Here is a 26043-nt window from a genome sequence, read left to right on the forward strand (position 1 = left end):
TGTTTGCAGATGACATGATTGTATATTTAGAAAACCCCATTGTCTCAGCCCAAAATCTCCTTAAATCTGATAAGCAACTTCAGCAAAGTCTCAGGATACAAAATAATGTGCAAAAATCACAAGTATTTCCATACACCAATAACAGATGAACAGAGAGCCAAATTATGAGTGAACTCCCACTCAACAATTGCTACAAAGAGAATAAAATACCTAGGAATCCAACTTACAAGGGATGTGAAGGACATTTTCAAGGAGAACTACAAACCACTGCTCCATGAAATAAAAGCGGACACAAACAAATGGAAGAACATTCCATGCTCCTGGAAAGGAAGAATCAATATCATGAAAATGACCATGCTGCCCAAGATAACTTACAGATTCAATGCTATCCCCATCAAGCTACCACTGACTTTCTTCACAGAATTGGAAAAAACTACTTTGAAGTTCACATGGAACCAAAAAACAGCCTGCATAGGCAAGAAAATCCTACACAAAAAGAGAAAAGCTGCAGGTATCACACTACCTGACTTCAATCTATACTACAGGTCTACAGTAACAAAAACAGCATGGTACTGGTACCAAAACAGATATATAGAGCAATGGAAAAAAACAGAGGCCTCAGAAATACCATCACACATCTACAACCATTGGATCTTCGACAAATGTGACAAAAACAAACAATGGGGAAAGGATTTCTTATTTAATAAATGTTGCTGGGAAAAATGGCGAGCCATATGCAGAAAACTGAAACTGGATTTCTTCCTTACACCCTATACATAAATTGACTCAAGATGGATTAAAGACTTAAATGTAAGACCCAAAACCATAAAAACCTAAGAGAAAACCTGGGCAATACCATTCAGGACATAGGCATGGGCAAAGACTTCATGACTAAAACACCAAAAACAATGGCAACAAAAGCCAAAATAGACAAATGAAATCTAATTAAACTTAAAAGCTTCTACACAGCAAACGAAACTATCATTAGAGTGAACAGGCAACCTACAGAATGGGAGAAAATTTTTGCAATCTACCCATCTGACAAAGGACTCACATCCAGAATCTACAAAGAATTTAAACAAATTTACAAGAAAAAAACGAGCAATCCCATCAAAAAGTGGGCAAAGGATATGAACAGACACTTCTCAAAAGAAGACATTTATGTAACCAACAGACATGAAAAATTGCTCATCATCACTGGTCATCAGAGAAATGCAAATGAAAACCACAATGAGATACCATCTTACGCTAGTTAGAATGGGGATCATTAAAATGTCAGGAAACAACAGATGCTGGAGAGGACGTGGAAAAACAAAAACGCTTTTACACTGTGGGTTGGAGTGTAAATTAGTTCAAACACTGTGGAAGACAGTGTGGTAATTCCTCAAGTATCTACAACCAGAAATACCATTTGACCCAGCAATCCCATTACTGGGTATATATCCAAAGGATTATGAATCATGCTACTATAAAAACACATGCACACGTATGTTTATTGTGGCACTGTTCAGAATAGCAAAGTCTTGGAACCAACCCAAATGTCCATCAATGATAGACTGGATTAAGAAATTGTGACACATATACCCCATGGAATACTACGCAGCCTTAAAAAAGGATGAGTTCATGTCATTTGCAGGGACATGGATGAAGCTGGAAACCATCATTCTCAGCAAACTATCACAAGGACAGAAAAACAAACACTGCATGTTTTCACTCATAGGTAGGAGTTAAACAATGAGAACATGTGGACACAGGACAGGGAACATCAAACGCTAGTGCCTGTTTGGGGGTGGGGGGCTATGAAAGGGATAGCATTAGGAGAACACTTAATGTAAATGTTGAGTTGATGGGTGCAGCAAACCAACATAACACATGTATACCTGTATAACAAACCTGTACGTTCTGCACATGTATCCTAGAACTTAAAGTATAATAAAAACTGAAGGCTACAGACTATAATTTCTGACCAAAATGGATTAAAACTAGAAATCAATAACCGAAGAAAATTCATAAAATTCACAAATACATGATAATTAAACAATTTATTCTTCAACATGTTTTTGTTCAAGAGTTAAAAATTTAATATTTTGAACGTGTCTATAATGCCCAAAGTGAGCTGCAGATTTAATACAATCCCTATGAAATTCTTAATATTATTTTTGACAGAAACAGAGAATGTGACTCCCCAAAGTATACGGAATTTCAGGGGACCACATAAAAAAAGTTGGAAGCATTACAATTCCTGATTTCAAGACATGTTAGAAATCTACAGTAATCAAAATCTTATGTTACTAGCATAAAGACAGACAATTAGACTAATAAAAAAATCTTTGCCACTGCTGCAGACAGTGCCTGCATCATCCTGCAGACTGACAATGATCATTTTGCTGCTGATGACTTTAAAGTGTGAGACAGACCTGGCCATGTGCCAGTTTGTGGAGTGCGACATTACTGATAACACCAGTGTCAGTCAGCCTCTGCTGGAGACAGAGATGGAGGCCCTCAAGGAAGAGCTGCTCTTCATGAAGAATCATGAGGAGGAAGTTAAAGGTCTATAATACCTGATTTCCAGCTCTTGGTTGACCATGGAGGTAGATGTCCCCAAGTCTCAGGACCTTGGCAAGATCATGACAGGCATCTGGGCCCAATATGACGAGATGGCTGAGAACAGCTGAGAGGAGCTGGACAAGTACTGGTCCCAGCAGACTGAGGAGAGCACCAGAGTAGTCACCATGCAGTCCGCTGAGATCGGAGCTGCTGAGAGGATGCTCAGGGGGTTGAGATGTACAGTCCAGTCCTTGGATATCGAACTGGACTCAATGAGATATCTGAAAGTCAGCTTGGAGAACAGCCTAAGGGAGGTAGACGCAGATGGAGCAGCTCAACAGGATCCTGCTGCACCTGGAGTCAGAGCTATCCCAAAACCGGGAAGAGAGGTACCACGCCCAAGAGCACGAGGACCTGTGGAACATCAAGGTCGAGCTGGAGGCTGAGATTGCCACTTACTGCCGCCTGCTAGAAGACGGGGAGGATTTCAATCTCCTGGATGCTCTGGACAGCAGTAAATACCTGCAAGCTATCCAAAAGAACAGCCCCCGCAGGATAGTGGACGGGAAAGTGGTGTCTGAGACCAACAATACAGACTTTTTGTTGTGCTAAGCCATCAGAAGCAAGGTCCCTTTGGGGAGCAGGAGGCCAGTAAAAAGTTCAGAGGTAAAAAAAAATTAACTTCAAATCACAGAAGTGTTTCCTTCAACACAAAAGTAATATAGATTCATTAATATATAGAAGTGGAAATTAAGACAATTTCCACAACTACTCACCCAGAGAGGATTAAAAAAATAATTGACCACCAACTAATTAAACAAATACACAAGTCATAAATAAAGTATGAGTAATGTTTATACAAGCAAATGAACAGAGAATTATGTTGGCAATAGACGTGTGGTTGATTCATATTTGACTGATTCATATTCAACTGTACACAGTTGAATATAGTCATACAAAATTATAATATATAGGCAGAATCTAAAAACACAATTAAATAATGTAAGGCAGCCTATCCTAACAAGGAAATACAAGAATATATAATATTAGAAAATAAAATTAAATAAACATTAGCCTGTGAAATACCGAATAAACAAAGCATGCAACGGAAGAAGACTCTTTCCAGATAACTAGCATGTTCAACCATAACTGGGCTCCCATAAAGAGCAGATTTTGAATTCTTAGCATATGGTTAGAGTAACAAAATTGCACAACAAATACATTATAATCTCCCATAAAGAGCATTTAGAAGAAAATTTTAATAAAGATTTCAATGATATTAGAGACACTTTTTATTATGTTCTTAATATATTACTCCTCTTTTTATACAAATGGAAAGGCTATAATTTATTTATTTTTTTTAATTTTTTGAGATGGAGTCTCGCTTTGTCACCCAAGCTGGAGTGTAGTGGCGAGACCTCGGCTCACTGCAACCTCCACCTCCCTGGTTCACGCCATTCTCCTGCCTCAGCCTCCTGAGTAGCTGGGACTACAGGCGCCCACCATCACGCCCGGCTAATTTTTGTGTATTTTTAGTATACACGGGGTTTCACCGTGTTAGCCAGGAAGGTCTTGATCTTCTGACCTCGTGATCCACCCGTCTCGGCCTCCCAAAGTACTGGGATTACAGGCTTGAGTCACCGCTCCTCGCCGGCGATATTTTTTGTAGTTTTAGTAGAGACAGGATTTCACCATGTTGGCCAGGCTGGTCTTGAACTCCTGACCTCATGATCCACCTATCTCGACCTTTTAATGTGCTGTGATTACAAGCATGAAACACAGCACTGGCCTATAATTTATTATTTTTAAAACAAAGAAAAGCCTTACATTTTTACATATGGGAACAACATGAATATTGTAAAATATGCTGTGGAAAACTACAATATAATAAGCAATTAGAAATAAATTATACTATCATTCAGATAAATGTTGAGGAAAGTAAATGGAAACACTAATGATAAGTTTTTCTATGCAGTGAACTTAGACACAAACTAAAACTTTTCTTAATGTGATGTGCATATCATCCAATTCACTTTTTATATAACACATAAATTCAAGTATGTTTTCTGAAACCCCTGAAGCTAAAGTTATAGGCTAATTTGACATACGTAAAAACAGGACAGGGAAAACATACAGATCACAGTCCCACTAAGCTTTATATAAGATTAATTAATAAAATAACTCATTAAGAAATAATGTAACAGTTAAGAATTTGTTCTATTCCTGGCATGTTTCTAAGTTTTTCTATGGATTAAGGTCCTTAAAAATTCTTTGAGATGAGTAGATACAATAAACTATTCCATAGGTGATATGTTTGGCATAGAGAGTTCACATTTCTAAGTTAGTTTCTACTAAGGGAAAGAAAACTTTTTGACCTACATTACCAGAGATGAAAAAAAGAATAAAGTGAAATAGAAGATTCAACTTTATCATATCTGCTGAGGTGCTTTGGGCTCTGATAAATTTTTTTTCTGATTTTTTTGCAGGAACACATTTGAAATAATAGGACTGAAAATTATGAGGAGGAAACATTTGTCCTTGGTGTTTCTGAAATATGTGAACCAAACCCCAATGCCTGCACTTTTGCTCTCACAAACTTCTGACATGAGGCACAGATTTTTACAAAACAGCTTAACATAGAAGTCTCACAAAATGTGCAGATTTCCTCAGATCCCAAAAACAATGGAAAAGCACTCAGACCACAAGAGCTTCATGGGAATAGCAGAAAGAAGAGGTGAACTTTGGCTGTCACTGTGAATGCCCTGGAATGTTAGTGGATGAACAGAGAAGCCTTAGAAGATTTAAGAGCATAATAAGCATAGGGTAGGAAATTTCCACCTGTGGCAGCAAAAGAAGTAAATTTAGAATTTTCCAGAACCAATTTCTTTGAAGCAGAACTTCCAACACCACATTTTTAAGGTTTTCTCCTTGGCCTTTGCACCTCTCATCTTTGTTATTTGTTTATTCTTCCCTATTGGGGTGTTGCCTATTATTCTCTCTCTTTTTACATTCCAAAGACATTTCCTTTACTGTAGGACAGGGGCATCCACGGGAGACTACAGCCATGAGTTCTTAGTTTCTGTTTCTGGTTGAGCCAGTAAGGCCCTTTCCTCATCCCCCTTTTCCACTTATCACTAGACACAGAACCCAAAAACCATTGCTGCAGGCTGCTAAAAACCTAAAACAAAACAGAGCCATAACAAAAACAAAACAAGGCGGGTTGGAAAAGCTTGCTGTACGAGGCAACCAGGTCTGGCTTATATTCACCACATCCCTTCTTCTTTCCCAGAACAGCAATTGGGCTCAAGAGAAAACGTCCAACTTTTAGTATATCCCTCAGTATAGAATGAGAACAGTGGAACATATGTTCAAAGGTTTGGCTTTGTGGGCTACCGCTGATGACTAGATTCTGTCTCCCCAAACAGGGAATGCTAAAGGAAATGGCAGAGTAATGAGAATGATAACTTATGACTGCTGAGAAGAGAAGTTACATGCTTACCACAGCCTCAGAGAAACAAACACTACAATCAACTGCGGAAGCAAAGGACCACAGTGTCTGGAAAACAATGGGAAAAAATATCTTTACCTTAAAAATCCACACACAAGCCCAGAGAAGACACATTGAAGACACTGTTAATGAAGAACCAGGATGTACAGCCTCACTGATTGTTGTATTATCTTGTAGTAAGCAAGTTTGTACATACTACATTACACAGTTGTTTTATAAATTTCTGAATCTCATCAAAAGATTGCAGGGCATACAGAAAAGGACGAAAACATGTCCCAATTGAAGAAATAAAATAAACCTACAAATATTGATCTTTAAAAATCTTTGTTGACTTTTAAAGGTCAAAATTTGTAGGTTTATTCTTTGTTGTTGTTGTTTTTGCATTATATAATTTTGAAAATCAAAATAATTATCAAAGCTCCTTAATGATATGAACACTCCTCCAGTCCGCAGGGCTCCGGCAAGGGAGGAGCTTAGACACCATGCGGGACACCCGGGTGGACCCCCAACCCACGCCCGAGGCTCAGAGCAGGAGCAAGGACCTGGCTGCACCAGGCCGAAGCCGCCTCCACCCCCAGCGGTCGCGGACTCCAGGAGCTCCAGACCTGGGGTCGTGGTGAGATTCGTTGATTGACTGCGCGATGGTGGCTGAGTTGCAACCAAATGGGTTTCATCACCTTAAATGGTTTTGAACCAATGAAGCTATATTCCCTTAAAGAGACGGACAGCCCATCGTGTGAACTATAGAGTTTGTGAACAAATTTATATTGGGTTCATAGTGGCATCATGCACACAGACTCCTGCGAGTTCCCCTAAGTTCTTAGAGGACTGCTTTACCTTTTGATCTGAGAGTTGCAAAGTTCCGTAAAGAATGGCCCTGTGGATAAGCGCTAAGTCAAGAGACAGCGATTGGACAGAATTTGTGAAGGAATTCGCCGCCAGATCACGAAAGACCCCCTAAGCCCCCGCTCACTGGCAGCGTTCCTGGTCGGCCGTGACTGCACTGTGGACATGCCCATCCTGAAGGCCACCGTGGCCTTCTATGATGCAGTCCACGCAGGAAATCCACGAGAAAGTTCTAAACAGAGCCGTGGGCCCCATGATGCACCACACAATCACCTCACCAGGGAGGTTCTGGCAAATTTCAAGTCCTTGAGAGTGATCGTGGGGGTGGGCAGTGGCTATGACAACGTGGACATCAAGGCTGCCAGCGAGCTCGGAATTGCTGTGTGAAACATCCCGTCCGCAGCCGTGGAAGAGACAGCCAATTCCACCAACTGCCACATTCTCAACATGTACCGGAGGAACACATGGCTGTACCAGGCACTGTGGGAAGGCAAGCGGGTTCAGAGCATGGAGCAGATCTGCGAGGTGGCCTCGGGAGTGGCCCGCATTCGTGGGAAGACGCTGGGCCTCATCGGCTAGGGTCGCACGCAGCAGGCTTTTGCAGTTCCAGCCACAGCCTTTGGATTCAGCGTCATGTTTTATTACCCCTACTTGCAGGATGGGATCGAGCAGTCCCTGGGCATGCAGAGGGTCTACACCCTGCAGGATTGGCTGTATCAGAGCGACTGCATCTCCTTGCACTGCAGTCTCAACGAACTTAAGCACCACCTCATCAATGACTTTACCATAAAGCAGATGAGGCAGGGAGCATTCCTTGTGAACGCAGCCCGTGGTGGCCTGGTGGACGAGAGAGCCTTAGCACAGGCCCTCAAGGAAGGCAGGATACGAAGGGCAGTCGTCGACGTGAACGAGTCGCAGCCCTTTAGCTTTGCTCAGGGTCCGTTGAAAGATGCCCCCAATCTCATCTGCACTCCTCTCACTGCCTGCTACAGCCAGCAGGTGTCACTGGAGATGAGGGAGACAGCTGCCACCGAGCTCCGCCGAGCCATCACAGGTCGCATCCCAGGAAGCTTAAGAAACTGTGTGAACGAGGAATTCTTTGTCACATCTGTGCTTTGGTGGGAAATAGACCAGCAAGAAATTCATCCAGGCATCTTGGGCGTGGGTCCAGGAGGACTTCCTGCATCCATGGAAGGGACATTCCCTGGAGGCATCCCGGTGACTCACAAACTCCCCACAGTGGCACATCCTTCCCAAGCACCCTCTCCCAACCAGCCCTCAAACACGGGGACAATCGAGAGCACCCCAACGAGTAATAACAGAGAATGCCGGAAGGTAATCATTCAGATACACTTTTGAAGAAGAGACAGTGAAAAATAGACAAACTAAGAGAAAAAGAATCTGACGCTCTTTTTAGCTGATTCTGGACATATGCTCATTGGTTTTGCACTGTTAAAACTGCAAGACCTAGAAAACTGCAGATGTCGTCTGCTTACGGAAGCTCTGAAAGACTAGGATGTGATTTATTAACCACCAACTTCCGTTATTATGTGTTTAGTTTTTCATCTGTGCATCAAATCACAAAGAATGAATACAATTTTTTCCTTTATCAGTCCCTTGGGCACAGCAGGTCTGGAACACCCTGCTCAGAATGTTGCATCAAGACTTCAAACATCAAAATAAAAACCATGAGGAGGAAATCCCCATCTTGTGACTTGAGTCCCTTCAGTCTACAGGGACTGGTTACAGCATTTTGTTAATAGGAAGATCACATTACTAGAAAATATGGAGTAAACTGTTTGCCTATGGTAGACATCCTCACACATAAGATTGAAGACAGTACCGGCTCCTGTACAGAGAAGCGTCTCTCACATCTGAACTGCATACTGAGCGGGCAAGTTGGTTGTAAGTTCAGTAAAAGCCTCTGATAATGCAAAAAAAAAAAAAAAAGTATTAAGTTTCACACGCTGTTTGTAATCAAGTATATTTTCTCAGTTTCAGATCCTCTGCTATTTTATTTAGTGGGAAGTCTTGCACTAAAAGGGTTCAAGAAAAATAGTGTTGCATTTTCTTATGTCACAGGAAACACTTTTAATGGTAACTTGTCAGATTGTCTATGAACAAACCCACTTTTTAAGACATTGATAAAGTCTTCTTTTCTTCACGTTGTGTTTTATACAAGAACACTTCAGCTGTATTGGATGTGACTGATTTTAACAAATTATATTAGATTTGCATCAATTAGTTACATGTTCTATTTATAGTCTTTTGTGAATATAGTCTTTTTGTTTAAAAAGATGGCCTGTTTTGATCCTTTGATTAGGTACATTCCCGTTTTTGTAAGAAAAGAGAAATTTTTAAGACTGTCCCAAACAGAAAAATAATGGCTATCAGAAGTACGTTTTGTTTTAGTGTAGTGCGAATTACCGTTACTGTAGTTGTTTATTGTAAAGATGGACATTTAGCATTCAGTGCAGTTTTCAATAAAATGTGATTAGAAAAAACTGCTTAATGAACAAAAACAGAACATAGACAACAAAAGAATATTAGAAGAAGTGATACATAAAGAAAATGAGATATCAATAAAAAGATTTTTAAAAACCAACAATTGTGAATCTGAAGAACATAATAGCTATATTAAAAATTTAATCAACAGTCACAAAAGCAGACTAATAAAGGAGAAAAAATTACACAATTGATGACATTGTAGTTATAAATATTGAGTGATGAAAACAAATTTTTTAAGCAGAATGGAGGAAAAAGTATGGGAAGTACTGCACATGGTCAAGTGGACCATTATATTTATGAAAGGAGTCTTACAAAAACAATATAGGAGAAAAGTAATAAAGAGGTTATTTTTAAAAAGTAGCTGAGAAATCCCCACATGGCAAGATAATTAAACAAGAAGAAATACTTCCAAACAAAAACCTTCAACTGGAGTAATATCACTTCAGAAATAAAAAAACTAAACCTTTCCAAATAAATAAAAGTTGATTGTGTTACTAACCACTAGAACAGTCCTAAAGGAAGTGTAAAAGAGTCTATCACGTCCAAAAATGAAATGATGCTGCAGAGCATCATAACAGCACATGAAAATAGAAAGCTCTCTATTAAAGGTAAATATATAAACAGGTAAAGAAATCTCTACTGTCATAATCATGGTGCACAAAACTTTCAAAATATTGCCATGGAGTTTAAAACATGAGGCAGAAATCTGCATAAATTTGTGATCATAGACCATAAGGAAAGATAATATGCGATATTAATAAAACAGTGGGGGTGTCAAGAGGTACAACTTTGCATTCAGTTGAAATATAGTTGTTCTATACTGTCATAACTTTAAGATGATTTATGAAGTCTTTATTTCTCAGGATGATTACCAAAAAAAACCTGTAGAATGTATGCAAAGGCAAATGAGAAAGAAATTCAATCACGTCACTACAAAATCAACAAACAGAAATAAAGCAGTAAGAGAAAAAATGATAAATAACACATCTACAAGAAACACAGAAGACAATTACAAATAATAAAGTAACTTCATTAAATGCAGTAATTACTTCAAATATAAAAAGTTAAATACCTTAAAGAAAATTAATAAATAATTTAATGGATTAAGAACAAAGAAGATCCAGCAATTTGCTCTCTACAAGAGTCACTTCAGCTCTAAGGACTCAAATAAGTTGAAAGTAACAGTATAAAGAAAATATATTTTATTCAAAGAGTAGCTAAAATTGGAGGGCCATGGTCATAATTATACTAAACAAAATATATTTTAAATCAAAAATATGAACAAGAGACAGATTGGTATTGTGTTTTTGTTTTTGTTTTTGGAGACAGAGTCTCATTCTGTCACCAGGCTGGAGTGCAGTGGCACGATCTCGGCTCACTGCAACCACAACCTCCCTGGTTCAATCGATTCTCCTGCTTCAGCTTCCCGAGTAGCTGGGACTACAGGCACACGCCGCCACCTCACCCAGCTAATTTTTGTACTTTTTAGTAGAGATGGGGTTTCACCTTGTTGGCCAGGATGGTCTCGATCTCTGGACCTCATGATTCACCCGCCTCGGCCTCCCAAATTGCTGAGACTACAGGCGTCAGCCACTGCGCCCGGCCGAGAGAGATTGGTATTATGTAATGGTGAGATGGATTAACTTTCCAGGAATCTATAACAATAATTTATAAATCATATATATATAATTTGAAAAATCTGCAAAAATATACCACTGAGATTTTGACAAAAATTACATTAAATTTTTGTATTACTATAAATAGCACTGACATCTTTCTTTCTTTTTTTTTTTTTAGAGACAGAGTTTCTTTCTCTCTGGCTGGAGGGCAGTGGCATGATCTCTCGATAGGCTCACTTCAACCTCCTCCTCCCAGGTTCAACTGATTCTCGTCTTTCAAATATGTAAAACAAATATTGACAGAAGTCAAGCAAGAAATACATAGCAACACAACAATGGTGGACTTCAAGACTCCACTTTCAGTAATGACTAGAATAGTCAGAAGTAATATCAGTAAGAAAGCCAAACCTGAACATTATAGACCCAACCAGCATTTACAGAACTCTCCAATTTAAAGGAGCAAAATCTGCAATATTCTAAATCACACATGGTACATTCTGTTAGGATACATGTCTTATTAAATTTAAGAAAACTGAAGCCATACAATGTAAATGAAACTAGAATTCAAAAGCAAGAAAATGTGGCAAATATGTAAATAAGAGGAAATTAAGCAAAATCTTTCATATAGTCTTGCTCAAGTGTCAGGTGATTTAATATTGTTAAGATGTCAGGGCCGGCATGAGGCTCATGCCTGTAATCCTAGGACTTTGGGAGGCCAAAGTGGGTGGATCACTTGAGATCAGAAGTTTGAGACTAGCCTAGTGAATATGGCAAAACCCTATCTCTACTAAAAATACAAAAGTTAGCTAGACGTGATGGTGCACGACTGCAATCCCAGCTACTCTGGTGGCTGAGACTGGAGAATTGCTTGAACCTGGGAAGCGGAGCCTGCAGTGAGCACATCTCGCACCCCTGCCCTTCAGCCTGAGTGACTCACTAAAACTCCATCTCCAAAAAAAAAAAAAAAAAAATGTTGTCAGTACTACTCATGATGATATAAAAATGTAAGGTAATTTTTGTCAAAATCCCAATGGTATTTTTTTTGCAGAATTTTTGTGTATAATTCTAAACGTTGCTTAGGACAGGTGACTAGCCAAACACCCTTTAAAAAGAACAAAGAGGTATTACATTTTCTGATTCAAAATCATGATACAAAGCTACAAAAATAAAAACAATGTGGTATTGCCACAAAAACAGATACATAGATGACGAAACAGAATAGAGATCCCAGAAATAAACCCTTGCATATGTGATAAAATAATCTTCCGTAAGCTTTCCATGACCACACAATAGAAAAATAAGAATCCATTTAACAAAGAGTTTTCCAAATTGAATATTTACAGAGAAAAAAATAAAGTTGGATGCTTCCTTTGTATCATATATAAAAAGAAAAGTTTTTAAAATGAATTCAATACTTAAACATAAAACCTAATAAAATTCTTAGAAGTAAACATAAGGGAAAAGTTTATGACATAAGTCTTAAAACTCTTTCCTTAAGTTTGACATCAAATTCATAAGCAACAAGGAAAAGAACAACGACCAAGAAAAGGGACTACATTAAGCTTCAACTATTCTACACATCAAATAAAACATTTAGTGCCATACAAACGTCACCTAATAAGTGGGTGAAAGCTAGGCATGGTGTCTCATGCCTTTAATTCTACAACTTTAGGAGGCCAAGGCAGAACAATCACTTGAGACCAAAAGTTTGAGACTAGCCATGAAAACATAGCAAGACCCTGTCTTGTATAGGGTTATATATATGCATACATACATACATATAACTAAAAAGAGTAAAAATATTTTCTAATCACATATTTGGTAGGTGTTAATTTTCAAAATATATAAATTCCTAAAACTCAACAACAAAAAAAGTTAATAACTTGATTTAGAATGGCACATGTTTGAAATGACTTTCTCCAAAGAAGACATAGAAATGACTAGGCATTTAAAAGGATACTCGACAACTCTCTTCTAGAAAAATACAAAGAAAAGTCACAATAATCTATCACATCAAACCTATTTTTAAAATAGTATGAAAGCTCTTCAAAAAATTTAAAATGAGATTATTATACAATCCAGCAAACCCCATTCTGGCTATGTATTTAAAATATACAACACATGATCCGGAAGAGATATTTGCACACCCAAATTTATTGCAGCATTACTAACACAAGCCAAAAGGCAGAAACAACCCAGCTGTCCCTTGACCAATGAAGAGATTAACAACAAGTGGCACATACACAAAGTCGAATATTATTCAGTCTTTAAAAAGTCACATTATATGATTATTCTTGAGAATATCACGTTAACTGAAATAAGCCAGGAACAAAGTGACAGTCTATGATTCCATTCATAATCAGGTATCTTAAGTAGACAAACTCATAGAAAAAAAAAGTTAGAATGGTGTTTGTCAAGGACTGAAGAGATGGTAAAATGGGCAATTGTCTTAAAAGACATTTAATGTTAGTTTTGCAAGACATAGAAGTTCTACAGATCTTTTGCATAACTATGTGAATGTACTTAACGCTAATGAAATATACACTTAAAAAGAATTAAAATGGTAAATTTTACATTATGTGTTTTTACCACAATCGCAATTTTTAAAAGGAAAAATATGGACTTATAAAGCTTTCCAAAAATTAAATTTTGTTCACAAAAGATTTTCTCTCACACAAAGGAAGTATAGATTTATAATTAAACACATTGTGAAATTAAGATTATTTCAATGACTATTCATCCACACAAGATAAGACAACCACTGAAAATCAGCCAAAAAATATGGAAGATAAGCCATGAGCAAAGTTGGGGACATATTTATAGAGACAAACACATATATAATTTAATTTTGAAAACGTATGACCGATTTATATTTTAATTAAACCCAACATTAGTTTCCTGAGTGAAATTTGGTTTTCAGTTTGGGCAAATGAAGACCTTTCTGTGGTTAAAAGGATTCTTTCTTCTCCGTTTCTTCATATGGACCTGTGCTGGGGATTGGTCAGCTGTTCAAGTGCAATGCACTCAGTTTTGGTTCTGTGCCAGGATTAAACCTACGATATTTCACATTTCATATATAAACCCCGATGAAGTGTTTCTAGGAGATGGCTGCCTCATAACCTATATTTTGCCAAATGTTTACTATGAATTTCACCACCATCCTCTTGAAGGTGGTATTGTAACTAAAACTCTTCAGGACATTCTACTTAAAACTAAAATCACGTATATCTCAAGAAACTCCTTTCTGATTTGAAATGCCTCTGTCATGTATTGTCTGCAATCAGCCTCCTCTTTAAAAGAAAGTAGAAAGGACAGATGAGGAAACTGATAGTGTTACTGCATGGGAGACAGAGGTGAGGATACACATGGCGGATGAAAACATGGAAGTTATTTCTACAGCACGATCTTGTAAGTGTCTGACTGCTATGCTCCCTTGTATATCAAATGATGTACCTTTATTGCAAGAGAAGATAGTGCGCTGTTTACCTTGACATTGAGAGGCAATTTTGAATCTCTGTCGTGATTGTTTAGGACTGAGGATTTAATGTGCTATTTTGTGGAAATCTTAGAAGCAGTAATGGGATTTAATGATCTTAACTATCATCCTTCTGAAAAATCTAACGCGATTTTAAATAAAATGGCCGGCTGCTTCCACCGTTCCCTTTTTAAACCAGGAGCTGCCGTTGCTTTTAACATTACGAAGTTGAATCTATGAATAGTTTGTACTATTAACATTTTTTTAAAAATCCACATTGACTTGAAGTGTACAGGCAGAGTTGGAAATTATAACATCCAAAGTTATAATACATAAGTAAAACCCAAAATAAAATCAACTGCTGCCCTGGAACCTATTATAAATAATCGAGACAGTAATATGGAATTGTAAAGAAAAATAAGAAACATATTTACTCATAAAATCTTGCAAGCAAAGTTTTTTTCTTTTTTTGAGACAGAGTCTCACTCTGTCACCCAAGCTGAAGTGCAGTGGCGAGACGACGGCTCATTTCAACCTCCGCCTCCTGAGTTCAAACCATTCTCCTGCCTCAGCCTTCACTGAGATTACAAGCACCTGCTACCAGACCAGGCTACCTTGCATATAAACTTGATATATCATTTATGAAAATACTTTTTAGATAACTAAAATATTCTACTGTGACTGTGCATTCATGAAGTTCGGGTATCTTGAATCATTGGCATGCAGTGTGTGACAGTAAAATTTCACAGAAAATACACTGTAACCATTAATAAAAGGCCCTAATAAGAGAATTTTAATGCATAAGAATTGAAAAGACACCATAAATAATTTCCGTTGTATTTTTAATACACTGATGCTATTCTTACACAAAGTAAAAAGGCTGGGTAAGTTGTGGTGGCTCACACCTGTAATTCCAGCAATTTGGGAGGCCGAGGTAGCAGATTGCTTAAGCACAAGAGTTCACAACATGCCTGGGCAGGATAGGGAGACCCTGTCTCTGCAAATAATAATAAACAGCCAAGTGTGTTAATACACATTTGTGGTCCCATCTGCTCAGGAGGCTGAGGCAGGAGAATTGCCTGAGCCTGAGTGGTCAAGGCTAGAGTGAGCTGTGATTATGCATTGCATTCCAGCCCAGGTGACACAGTGAGACCCTGTTTAAAGAAAAAAACAAACAAAAACTAAAAATTAACCAGGAGTAGTGGCATGCACCTGTACTCCCAGCTACTTCAGAAGCTGAAGTTAGAAAATCATTTGAGCCTGAGAGTTTGAGTCTGCAGTGAGCCATAATTGAGCTACTGAACTCCAGTCTGTGTGACAGAGCAAGGCCTTGTCATAGATAGATAGATGATAGATGATAGATAGATAGATAGATAGATGGAATACACCTGGAGAAAGAGTAAATTTTAATGTAGTGTGATGTAATTTTTAAAATAAACTTTATGTGTGTATCACTTAGAAATTTATAGAACAGGCCGGGGGCGGTGGCTCACGCCTCTAATCCCAGCACTCTGAGAAGACGAAGTGGGCAGATCAGGGGGCCGGATATCGAGACCAAGACCATCCTGGCTAACACGGTGAAACCCTGTCTCTACTAAAAATACAAAAAATTAGCCGGGTGTGGTGGCGGGCAACTCTAGTCTCAGCTACTCGGGAGGCTGAGGCAGGAGAATGGCGTGAAACCGGGAGGCAGAGCTTGCAGTGAGCCGGGATCGCGCCGCTGCACTCCAGCCTGGACAACAGAGCGAGAGTCTGTCTCGAAAAAAAAAGAAATTTATACAACTTAGCCAGAAGAATAAAAAACAACCTCTTAACAGTTTTTTCAAATAAAAAAAGTGAGTTTGAAGAGAAGGGAATAAAGGGGACTTTCAGTTTAATGTGTTTTTTATTTTTTGAGTCAGGGTCTCACTTTGTTGCCCACATGGAAGCGCAGTGGTGTGATTTCAGCTCACTGCAAACTTGGCCTCCCAGGCTCAAACAATCCTCCCACCTCAGCCTCCCTAGTAGCTGGGAATACAGGTGTACATCACCACAACTGGTTAATTTTTGTATTTTTGTAGAGAGAGGGTTTTACCATGTTGCTCACACTGGTCTTGAGCTTCTGGGCTCAAACAATTCACCTGCCTTGGGCTCCCAAAGTGCTGGGATTGAGCCACTAGGCCAACCAAGTTTTTTGTTTGGTTTTGTTTTTGAGATGGAGTCTCACTCTGTTGCCCAGGCTAGAGTGCAATGGCACGATCTTGGCTCACTGCACCATTTGCCTCCTGGGTTCAAGTGATTCTCCTGCCTCAGCCTCGTGGGTAGCTGGGATTATAGGCACCCGCCACCGAGACCAGCTAATTTTTGTATTTTTTAGCAGAGATGGGGTTCCACCATGTCAGCTAGGCTGGCCTCAAATTCCTGACCTCATGATCCACCCACCTCGGCCTCACAAAGTGCTGAGATTACAGGCATGAGTCACTGCTCCCGGCGACCAGCCAAGACTTTTACTTTATAAAGATATTTATGATGTTTTCTTTTCTTTTTACAGTACGCATTGCATTTATAATTGGAGATACAAAAAAAGGTGACTGTTACTGTTTGACAGCAAGGCAGTAGTATTATCTTCATCAATATTTGCAACTTAATTCGCAGGAACCTGTAAGAGAAAGCCCAGACAAAACTTTAAGGCAAAGAAGTTACACTTGTAAAAAATGAGAGGACTATTTTTTTATAATAACAAATATTCCAGGTGAGGACTGGTCAGGATCTACCACTGCTCCATCTCACTTGATAAGTCTCATGCCTGCCAGGGTAAGAAGGAGCAGAGAGAAGGACAAATGCCAGTGAGTTTCCTCTCCCACTAAGGATCTGTTTGTCAAGTTTCCTACCATCAAGTGGAAGATGTACTAAAAATAAAATGTACCCTTGCAGATGCTAGCAGAGAGGCACAAAATAGAAAAGGAGGTAAGCCCATATATTGTGGAGAAAGAGATCCAACTTAAGATTCAAAATGCACCAGAAAGCTGTGTAAAGTTAATAAAATTACTCAAAATCTTGGAACATTTGTTTCCTCACCTGTAAAATGGGGATCATGTGCCTACTTCATAAGTTGTTTTGACAGTTAAATTCACAGAGATATTTAATAGAGCCTGCTATGGCAAGTGTTCACATTAACAAAGTAGTATCAAACTTCAAAATATGGGAAAGGTATTTTGAATAATGTCTATGAGGCCAAGGACAACATGCCCAGCTTCACAATCAATCCCAGCCACATTACACTGAGGAGATCTACAGGCAACTATATTTCTTCAACAAATTCCATTAGAGAGGAAGAGTGTGTAGTCTGAAAACATGACACAAATGTGACCAGTGTACAGTGACTTAGGTAGTCGGGGGTGGAATCCCTACATATTCTCTGAATTGCAGCTACACAGTGAGTTCCCAGGAAACAAATGGAATAGAAAAGGTGACACAAAATATACTACCATAAATGGGGTGAGCATAGCAGGTTCACAACCACAAATGTAAGCAGGAGACTCAAATCACCAGGAGCACCTAGATCTGTGAACAGCAGCTTGTGGTGGCATCAGGTTCAACTTTCTGAGACCACCGGTGTGGGCAGTGTCTTTGCAGGCACATACTCGGCAGCAGTGTATCTGAAGACAGATCTCAAGGCTCTTCTCTTCACTAATTATTAAGATGATAGATGATGGATACCCTCACGTTACAACATCCCCACTAACGCTGTGGACAAGTGAATTCAGAAACCCACACCTAAATACACAGTGAAGAGTAGGATGAGAATACTGCAGGATAGGTTAGGAATGCAGGCATTCGACCCCATAGAGTCTATTTAAAATAAGAGAAGGGCCCTAGTATTGTGCTGTGGTCCTCCTATATATAGTTCTTTATTTTTCCAATTTCATAAAGGCCATACAGTTTTTCTTCCTTTCTTCACAAATGTGCTGATGAACCCATGAGTAATTCATCCTGAAGGGGTTAATTCCTCATAAAGTACAGTAACGTGATTCAATTGCTATGATGAGGTTTTTCAGGATTTTTTTATAGTGTCCCATACTCACCGATCACAAGTGAAAATTATAAGAACATGTAATTTGAACAAAGTATTCTTTTCACATAGAGAAATACACAGGTTTATACAGATTAGATGCATCATCAAAGTTGGTAACATCTGGGAACAAAAGGAACTATCCTGAGGACATAAGGAACTTAGGGACGTCGATTATTAAGAGGCTACCTGCAAGTGGAACTTCTGGGTTTTCATTGTCTAGACAGAAAAATTTAACTCATAAGCCCCAGTATATTAAGGTACATCCCCAACGGCTGTGGGGGATCAACTTTCCATCCAAAGCAGAGATGTAAAACATGAATGACTTCAAATGCGGCTCAAGTGCTCTGCACCTTGAAAGTCATCCCCACAAAGCTGGAGCACCACCTGTTCCTGAGGGATGAGGTCACCAACTGCTTTTTTGAGACACTCGTCAGTCAGGACTCAGTTGAGATGAGGCTGGTGATTTCAACTGTAAAATATCTAAACCATCGTCTTTAGGTAGATTCTTATGCCTGGGAATTGTGGTTTTCTCCTCTGCTGTTAGCAGATCCTGAGTAACCCAAGAAATACCCGCTCTCACCCGTCAAGTTCTATATCACAAGAAAGGCGCTGCAGACGGTGACATTTTCACGAAGGAGCCACAGCCCGCATCACCCCCTGAAAGCTCTGAAGTTGCGCACGGGTGGGTCACGCAGCAGGTGGATGTCTCAGTTCCCATAGAGTTTAGCAGAGCAGGCGGCTCCCTGGGCTGGAAGAGGTGCGATGCTCTGGAAACCCCCCGCGGGTGTGTATGTGAGAGGACACCGAGATGTTCAGCGGGCTGTTCAGTGAGGACCAGACCCCTCCGATTTGAGCAAGGGAGGTGCACTTCGCAGGGTCACACCGTCCTCATCGCCCAGCCTAGACCTGCCCCTCAAGTCCTTCTGCGGACTCCCTTGGCGAGGGGGTGGCACAGAATCAGCATGTGGCATCGCTTAGGAAAGGACGAGTCCACACCGCCCTGTCCCTCCCTCCAGGGCTGCGCACCACGGGGTAGGACAGACAGCGCATGCTGGTTTTGTAGTTAGCAGGTCGGCGACCAATGGGCTGGAAACCGTTAAGACACCATAACTCCCAGCACTCCTAGCTAGGGACGCGCCTCCCTATCCTTCGCTTCCATACTACACACCGCCCCCAAACCCAGCGCATGCTGAGATTGTAGTCCGTTAGCCTCGCGACCAATGGGCTGGAAATACTGAAAGGACTATGACTCCCAGGATGCTTTGCGAGGTACCCGCCGTCCCGATCCTTCCTCTAGGGCTGCGCACCGCCCCCAAGCCCAACGCATACTGGGATTGTAGTCAGGTAGTCCTGGGACCAACTGACTGGAAACTGTTAAGAGACCATAACTGCCAGCACGCCTGGCTAAGGACGCACCTCCCTATCCTTCCCTTCAGTGCTACACACCGCCTCGAAGCCCGGTGGCTGCTGGGATTGTAGTCTGCAGGCCGGGGGCCATCGCTGGAAACCGTTAAGAGACCATAACTCCCAGCATCCCTGGCCAGGGACGCGCCTCTCTATCCTTCCCTCCAGCGTTACACACCGCCCCAATCCCGGTGCATGCTGGCATTGTAGTTCGGTAGCCTTGCGATCAACGTGCTGGAAACTGTTTAAGGACTATGACTCCCAGGACGCCTTGCGAGGGACCCACCCTGTTGACCCTTCCTCCAGGGCTGGGAACCTCCCTTAAGCCCAGCGCATGCTGGGATCATAGTCCGACTGCCGCGACAGAAAGGCTGGGAGTGGATCTGAGACTACAGTTCCAACACTACGGGGAAAATTTCATCTTCTCTGAGACTACAGTTCCAACACTGAGGGGATAATTTCATCTTCTCCTCCGCCCCTCCATGTTTCCAGTGCAATTCCGCCCTGCTGAGGGGAGCCTATCTGTTCCCAAACTTCTGCGTGCGAGGAGACAGCGTGGCCAGGGCAGGTGGTCTCACTTGTAATTGTGGCACAGTCTCCCCACGTGCCAGTTGTACGACTATTTGTGCCTGAAGTTTGATTTCTCTCTGACAAGACAGAGCCCGGGAGCCTCCAACAGCCTGCCCAGCGTTGCTGTAACGCTTGCTTTCGGGGAGCTGGGCGCGCCCAGACCTTTGCAGGGCCCCTCCCTCAGCCCCGACCCTTCTCCTCGCCCCTCCCCTGCCACGCCCCTTTCGACATGCTGGAAAGTCATCTACCTTTAATAACAGTCATCTTTGCAAAAAAAAAAAAAAAAAAAACTCTGAGAATAACCTATCTCCCATTCTATTTAGTATTTATTTCCATAGTATCCATAAATAGTAGCAATTAGATATCACAGCAAGTCAAGCAAAAGCCCTGCCTTGCCTGTTTCATAAACCACGATATGGCCTTGCTGTGGTTTTATTTGTATTTTGTTTTGTATTTATTGACCTTTTGGATATAAATATTTAGGTATTTGGACAGTTTTTGGAAGTATTCCGCTATTAGTTGTTGATTTACTTCTGTTCCCTATTTAATTATTTTTTGTCTCTCCCTTCTCCTTAGACTCAGTCATTCCACAGGTCTCGAGAGTTCTGTTCATTTCCTTTAAACTTTTTGTACTTTTTTTTTCCAGACTGGATAATTTCTATTGCTGTGTCTTCTGTTTTAAATCTATGGCTAAACTCAAAAGATTTTTTTCATTTCCTTATCTATAATTTTTTTATATATATGTTCATTTCTCTGCTGAAGTTCCACATCTGTTTGTTTATGAATAGAATATTTTCTTTTTTCCCCATGAACATATTCATAAAAACTGCCTTCAAATTCTTGTCTGCTGATTGCAACATCCTGGGATAGCTTCTACTGCCTGCTTTTGATATTGTGTATGGATGACATTTTCACGTTTCTTTACAAGTCTTATGAATTTTAAAATTGTGCACTAGAAACTATAAATGATAATTATAGAATAGAAACTCTGGATTTTGCTGTTTTACCTTGAAGACTTTTGTTTTATAAACAGGGTTCATTGGGCTAGTGTCAAACCAATGCTTATGTCCGCTACAGTGGGTATAGCTGAAATCTTCATTCAGTTGTTAAACACACATATCATATATGTATTATGCATAGGCGTTTTTCTATAATAATATATTTTATTCAAGTTTCATCATTGTTATTTGTGAGAGTTCAACAAGCTAGTCCACACTTAGTGGAAGTCAGAACCTCAGTTTTATTTGATTGTAGCATTTTATATAAACAAAATTATATAGTATGTATACTTGTACATCTGTTTTCTTTATTTCCTTTTCTGTTTTCTTTCTTTCTTTCCTTTTCTGTCTTCTTTCTTTCTCTCTTTCTTTCCTTCTTTCTTTCTCTCTTCTTTTTTCTTTCTTTCTTTTCCCCAGGTTGGTGTGCAGTGGCATGATCTCACTGCAACCTCTGCCTACCAGGCTTAAGATATCCTTCCACTTCAGCCTTTTGAGTCACTGGGACCGCAGCCTTGCACCACCATGCCCGGCTAATTGTTTTGTATTTTTGGTAGAGACAGGGTTTCACTATGTTGCCCAAACTGGCATGTCTGCTTTCTTTTATGCAACATTACATTTGTGATATTCACCCACCAGTTGCAAATAGCTATAGTCTGTTCATTTTAGAAAGTAGTTTTTACCTTTTAGTAAAATATAAAAATACATGAAATTAACCATTTTATTATTTTTTTTGTGTGCAGTTTAAAGAAATTAAATACATTCACATTGTTTTGCAACCATTGTCCAAGTTCATAAGGAACTGTTTTTCAATCTTTTAAAAGTGAAACTCTGTACCCAGTAAACAACACTCCCCTTCCATTGCCCTTTGTGTAGTCCCTGGAAACTACTCTTCTACTTCGTGTTTCTATGAACTTAACTGCTGTAAATATCTCATATGAGTGGAAAGAGACAATATAGCAAAAAAATCATGAGGAAGAATAATATATACTATATAACATATGTTTATCCATTTTAAGAAAAATGCTAGCAGAGATCAGGTCATGGTGTTTATAGAGAAAGGTAGGTAACAGTGAAAAAGGGATTGGTTGCATTAAATTTACGACGTGATGCCTCAAGTGCCAGAGTAGTGAGCTTTCTGCCCCACTCGCAGGGCTGGTCAATGGTGTGGCTGGAACCCTACTTGAGCTGCCTGACTGCCAGAGCCCATGCTTAGTACAAACTTCAATGAGCCATGAAAGCAATTCCAACAACAGGCACTTAATGGCTCTGAGATTTTATCACAGCCTGTTCTTCATGGCTAGCAACTTCAGAGAAGAGTGACAGCTGTGAGGTTCCAGAAGCCACACCTCAGGTCCCCCAGTTCCTCCCCAGCAGCTGGAGTCCAGGTGCAACAGGACCTGATGCCGGCCAGGGAACCATGGCCACACGCTGTGTGAGGCTGGCGGCAAGACAGTCTCCCCTCCTACCCTCTGCTCATCTGCTAGGTCTTTGCCTTTTATTCTGATTGTGCTGCTCCAGGCTTGGAACAAAGCCCGAAATTCCTCTTGAGTCTGAAGATGATGATGGTTTCCAGCTGTGTGGAACTGCTGCATCTCCTGGAGGACTTTAATCTTCTGGAAACAGAGGGAAAGACAGGATGCTGACAGGGCCTGGGTGAAAGACTCTGTAGGGGCCTTATAAAAGAAGGGAGGAGGGCTGGTCTCTGAGGTGTTTCTTTTAAGGGGCTCTCACCTCCCCTCCAATATCATGCAGCCCTAACTGGTTCTCAGAGTTGAATGTAAACGGCCCTTCCTCTAGGAAGTTGTCATCAACTTCACTCCCCTGATTGCACCCTGCATTAGGATAGGTCTCCTCCTTCTCTGTGTATTACTCCCTTTCAATAAATCTTAGATGCGGAAGAAGGGACCAGGGAATGTCCTGCCCAGGGTGATTTCTCATTTCCACCTCCACCCTCCCTCAAAGTGAGGACTTCAGCTACTGCTCACCTTTCTGTTTTTCTGGGTTTTGATCACATTTCTCTGGAAGACAGAAAGCCAAAGACCATCAGAAAGGTCCGCTGGTCCATAACTAGCCTCCATTTCCAGCGATTTCCAAGCTTCACCACTACCAGAGCCACCAGGGTCAGGGAATGTGCACAAAAGAGGTCTTGCAGCTCTGCAGCTTCACTACTCAGGGAGTGGGACTGATGGCTGCTGTGGAGCCTCCATCACTCATGAGTAAAATACCCTGTTTACGGGATGGGGAGGGCTGCGAGGCCCTCGCAAAAAATTTTGGCAAGGACTGAGATCTAGGAGCTCAGTTCAAGACTCTCTTCTCCCAGGCCTCAGGATCCTGGTCCCTGACCTGTCTTCTCCAGGCTCACTCACATCCACACACTCCTTCATGGCAATGTCCAGCATCACCACATCAGTGAGGAATGTCCCCAGAGAGGGCATGACTTGGGAGGTGCCCACCCAAGTCCTGTCCGCTGAACTCTTATAAACCCCTGCCTCCTGGCGCCCTCTACCTAGGTTACCCACTTGGAGTAGCTGAGAACCCTCAGCTGCCTTTTCCCAATTCTCTATGTCTTCCCATTAGCTGGCCTCTATTGCCACCAACCTCACCATAATTACCTCCTTGGTGGGATTTTAACAAGCCACAAGGTCATGTGGTCCCTGGCTCCACCTGTTTTAAAAGCCACACGGAGCCCAGCTCTCCCAGGCCTTGCTCTGGTCTGTCTAATGAAGGTGTTTTAGGCACTGCAGCCCCAGGAGAAAAGGGCTGGAGTAGAAAGGCCCTCTGCTTTTTTGATTTGGAGGTTTCCAGCTGGGAGAAGTAAGCTCTGTTCTCTGAAACCCTGGAGCCCTTCCCCATCACAGACACATTCACCTTCTGCTGTCACAGCCTCATCTAAGCTCTCTGAGGCTCCGCTACAGGGTAGACAACTTGTACGGTGTTCACCTGCTAGGATGAGGGACAAGGTCAGTGAAAATATGCTTCTTTCAGTTACGCCTCAGCCACACTAACCTTGGACACGGATAAGTGGCCTGAGTCAGCTTGTCCAATGCTCTGACCATCTCCAGTAAGCTCTGACTCTAGACTCACTCCCAGGTCCAACACTCCCTGGATGTGTCATTTTGGGCATGCAGTCGGGTTTCCCTGAGCTGTTTCCTCAACTGGAAAGTGTGGTGGGAACCAACCACCTCACAAGGCCTCTTACCACCTCGGTTTCATGTGGTTGTCATGATTGCTGTCACCATCTTCCCTCTCAGGATGAGCCAGACACAAGCACCCTCAGATTCTCTGTCTCCCTGAGCCCCATCACCACCTTGTGAGGCCTGCCCAACAGGCTCATCATTCCTACATTTTCCACATAAGAAAACAGAGGCCCAAAGCGGCAATGACATGCCAAGGACCCCACAAGAGAGGCCAGCTCCTCCCTCAACCTAGAGGGACTGTCCCGGCTGCCTTCACCTAACACCCTAGCATCATCACTGACCAGCATTCCATCTTCTAAACTCTATGAGTGACAATATTCCCAGCCAGGCCCTGTGGCAGTGGACATGGTTCTGAGAATTGGGAATCTAATGTGGAGGAAAAGTTAAATATTTAATATGAACTCAATTGAACATGGGCACAAACAATGGTCACGAAGTCCTGGAACAGGTTGCATGAACCCCTTGAGGTGTTCATCCAGCGCTGTTTCAGAGAAATCTTTCAATCCATTCCTATACATTAGTTATTGAAAAAACAACAGACAATTGCAAAAACAAGTTGATCTTTTGTGTTCCTTGAGCCCAGTTGTGAAGGGCACCTGTGACTGCGCCTCATGCCAAACAACACATTACAAAAAGAGCTAGGGTCCCAGACTGTGCTGAAGTTTCATGAGACCTCTCCTCATCTGTGCATGGACACGTGGCTGACTCTGGAGCCCAGGCTGTTGCTTCCCAGTCTGGTAATGAATCCTCCATAGTCTGGTGCGTGTAAATATACATATACATATATGTATATTTATATACATGTATATGTATATAAATATACATATATATATTTTCTTTCTGTCCTTCCCATTGCAATTTGCTTATTATATTATTTGCTTATCAAGTCTGTATTGCCATACACTTGGGATAAAGGCTATTTATCCTTAAAACTATTGTGGGTGCCTTTTCTTTTCCCCTCGTTCATTTCCCGCACCGGAGCCCAGGTGATGGAATCTCGAAGTGACCTCACTTCCTTAGTTACAAACTCAAAGAAAGTTTAGAACTCTGGTAACCTGGAGCCCTAATTCTAGAGACAGCTTTGTATTTACTAAGGAGACTCTGAAGACAGCAAGATGTTCTCCTGCTATGTCTTGAATTTCTGAGGCTCTCATCTCAGGAAGGCTTGAACAGAGAGACTTTTTTTTATGATGGAGACAGTGCTCATTCTGCACTGCTGGCTCTTCTGGCCATTTGGAAAGGGTTACCCATAGATAACACAAGGCCACCCATGGCAGGCCTATCCAGGCCAGGCCTCACCTTTGATATCATCTCGGC

The 26043-nt window shown here is 41.0% G+C and overlaps 1 long non-coding RNA gene and 1 pseudogene across 1 annotated transcript; one reads left to right on the forward strand and one right to left on the reverse strand.

The window, feature by feature from the left end:
- Positions 1-5064: 5064 nt before the first annotated feature.
- CTBP2P10 (CTBP2 pseudogene 10) lies at positions 5065-11733 on the forward strand (annotated as a pseudogene).
- Positions 11734-13460: 1727 nt separating this feature from the next.
- LOC124904989 (uncharacterized) lies at positions 13461-20156 on the reverse strand. The gene is made up of 2 exons (XR_007067798.1): positions 17971-20156; positions 13461-17141 (listed from the first exon to the last, which is right to left on the reverse strand). It is a non-coding gene; the product is annotated as an uncharacterized LOC124904989 (long non-coding RNA).
- Between the last annotated feature and the right edge of the window lie 5887 nt (positions 20157-26043).

Source organism: Homo sapiens, chromosome 21 (assembly GCF_000001405.40).
Source record: "Homo sapiens chromosome 21, GRCh38.p14 Primary Assembly".
Lineage (NCBI taxonomy): Eukaryota > Metazoa > Chordata > Mammalia > Primates > Hominidae > Homo > Homo sapiens.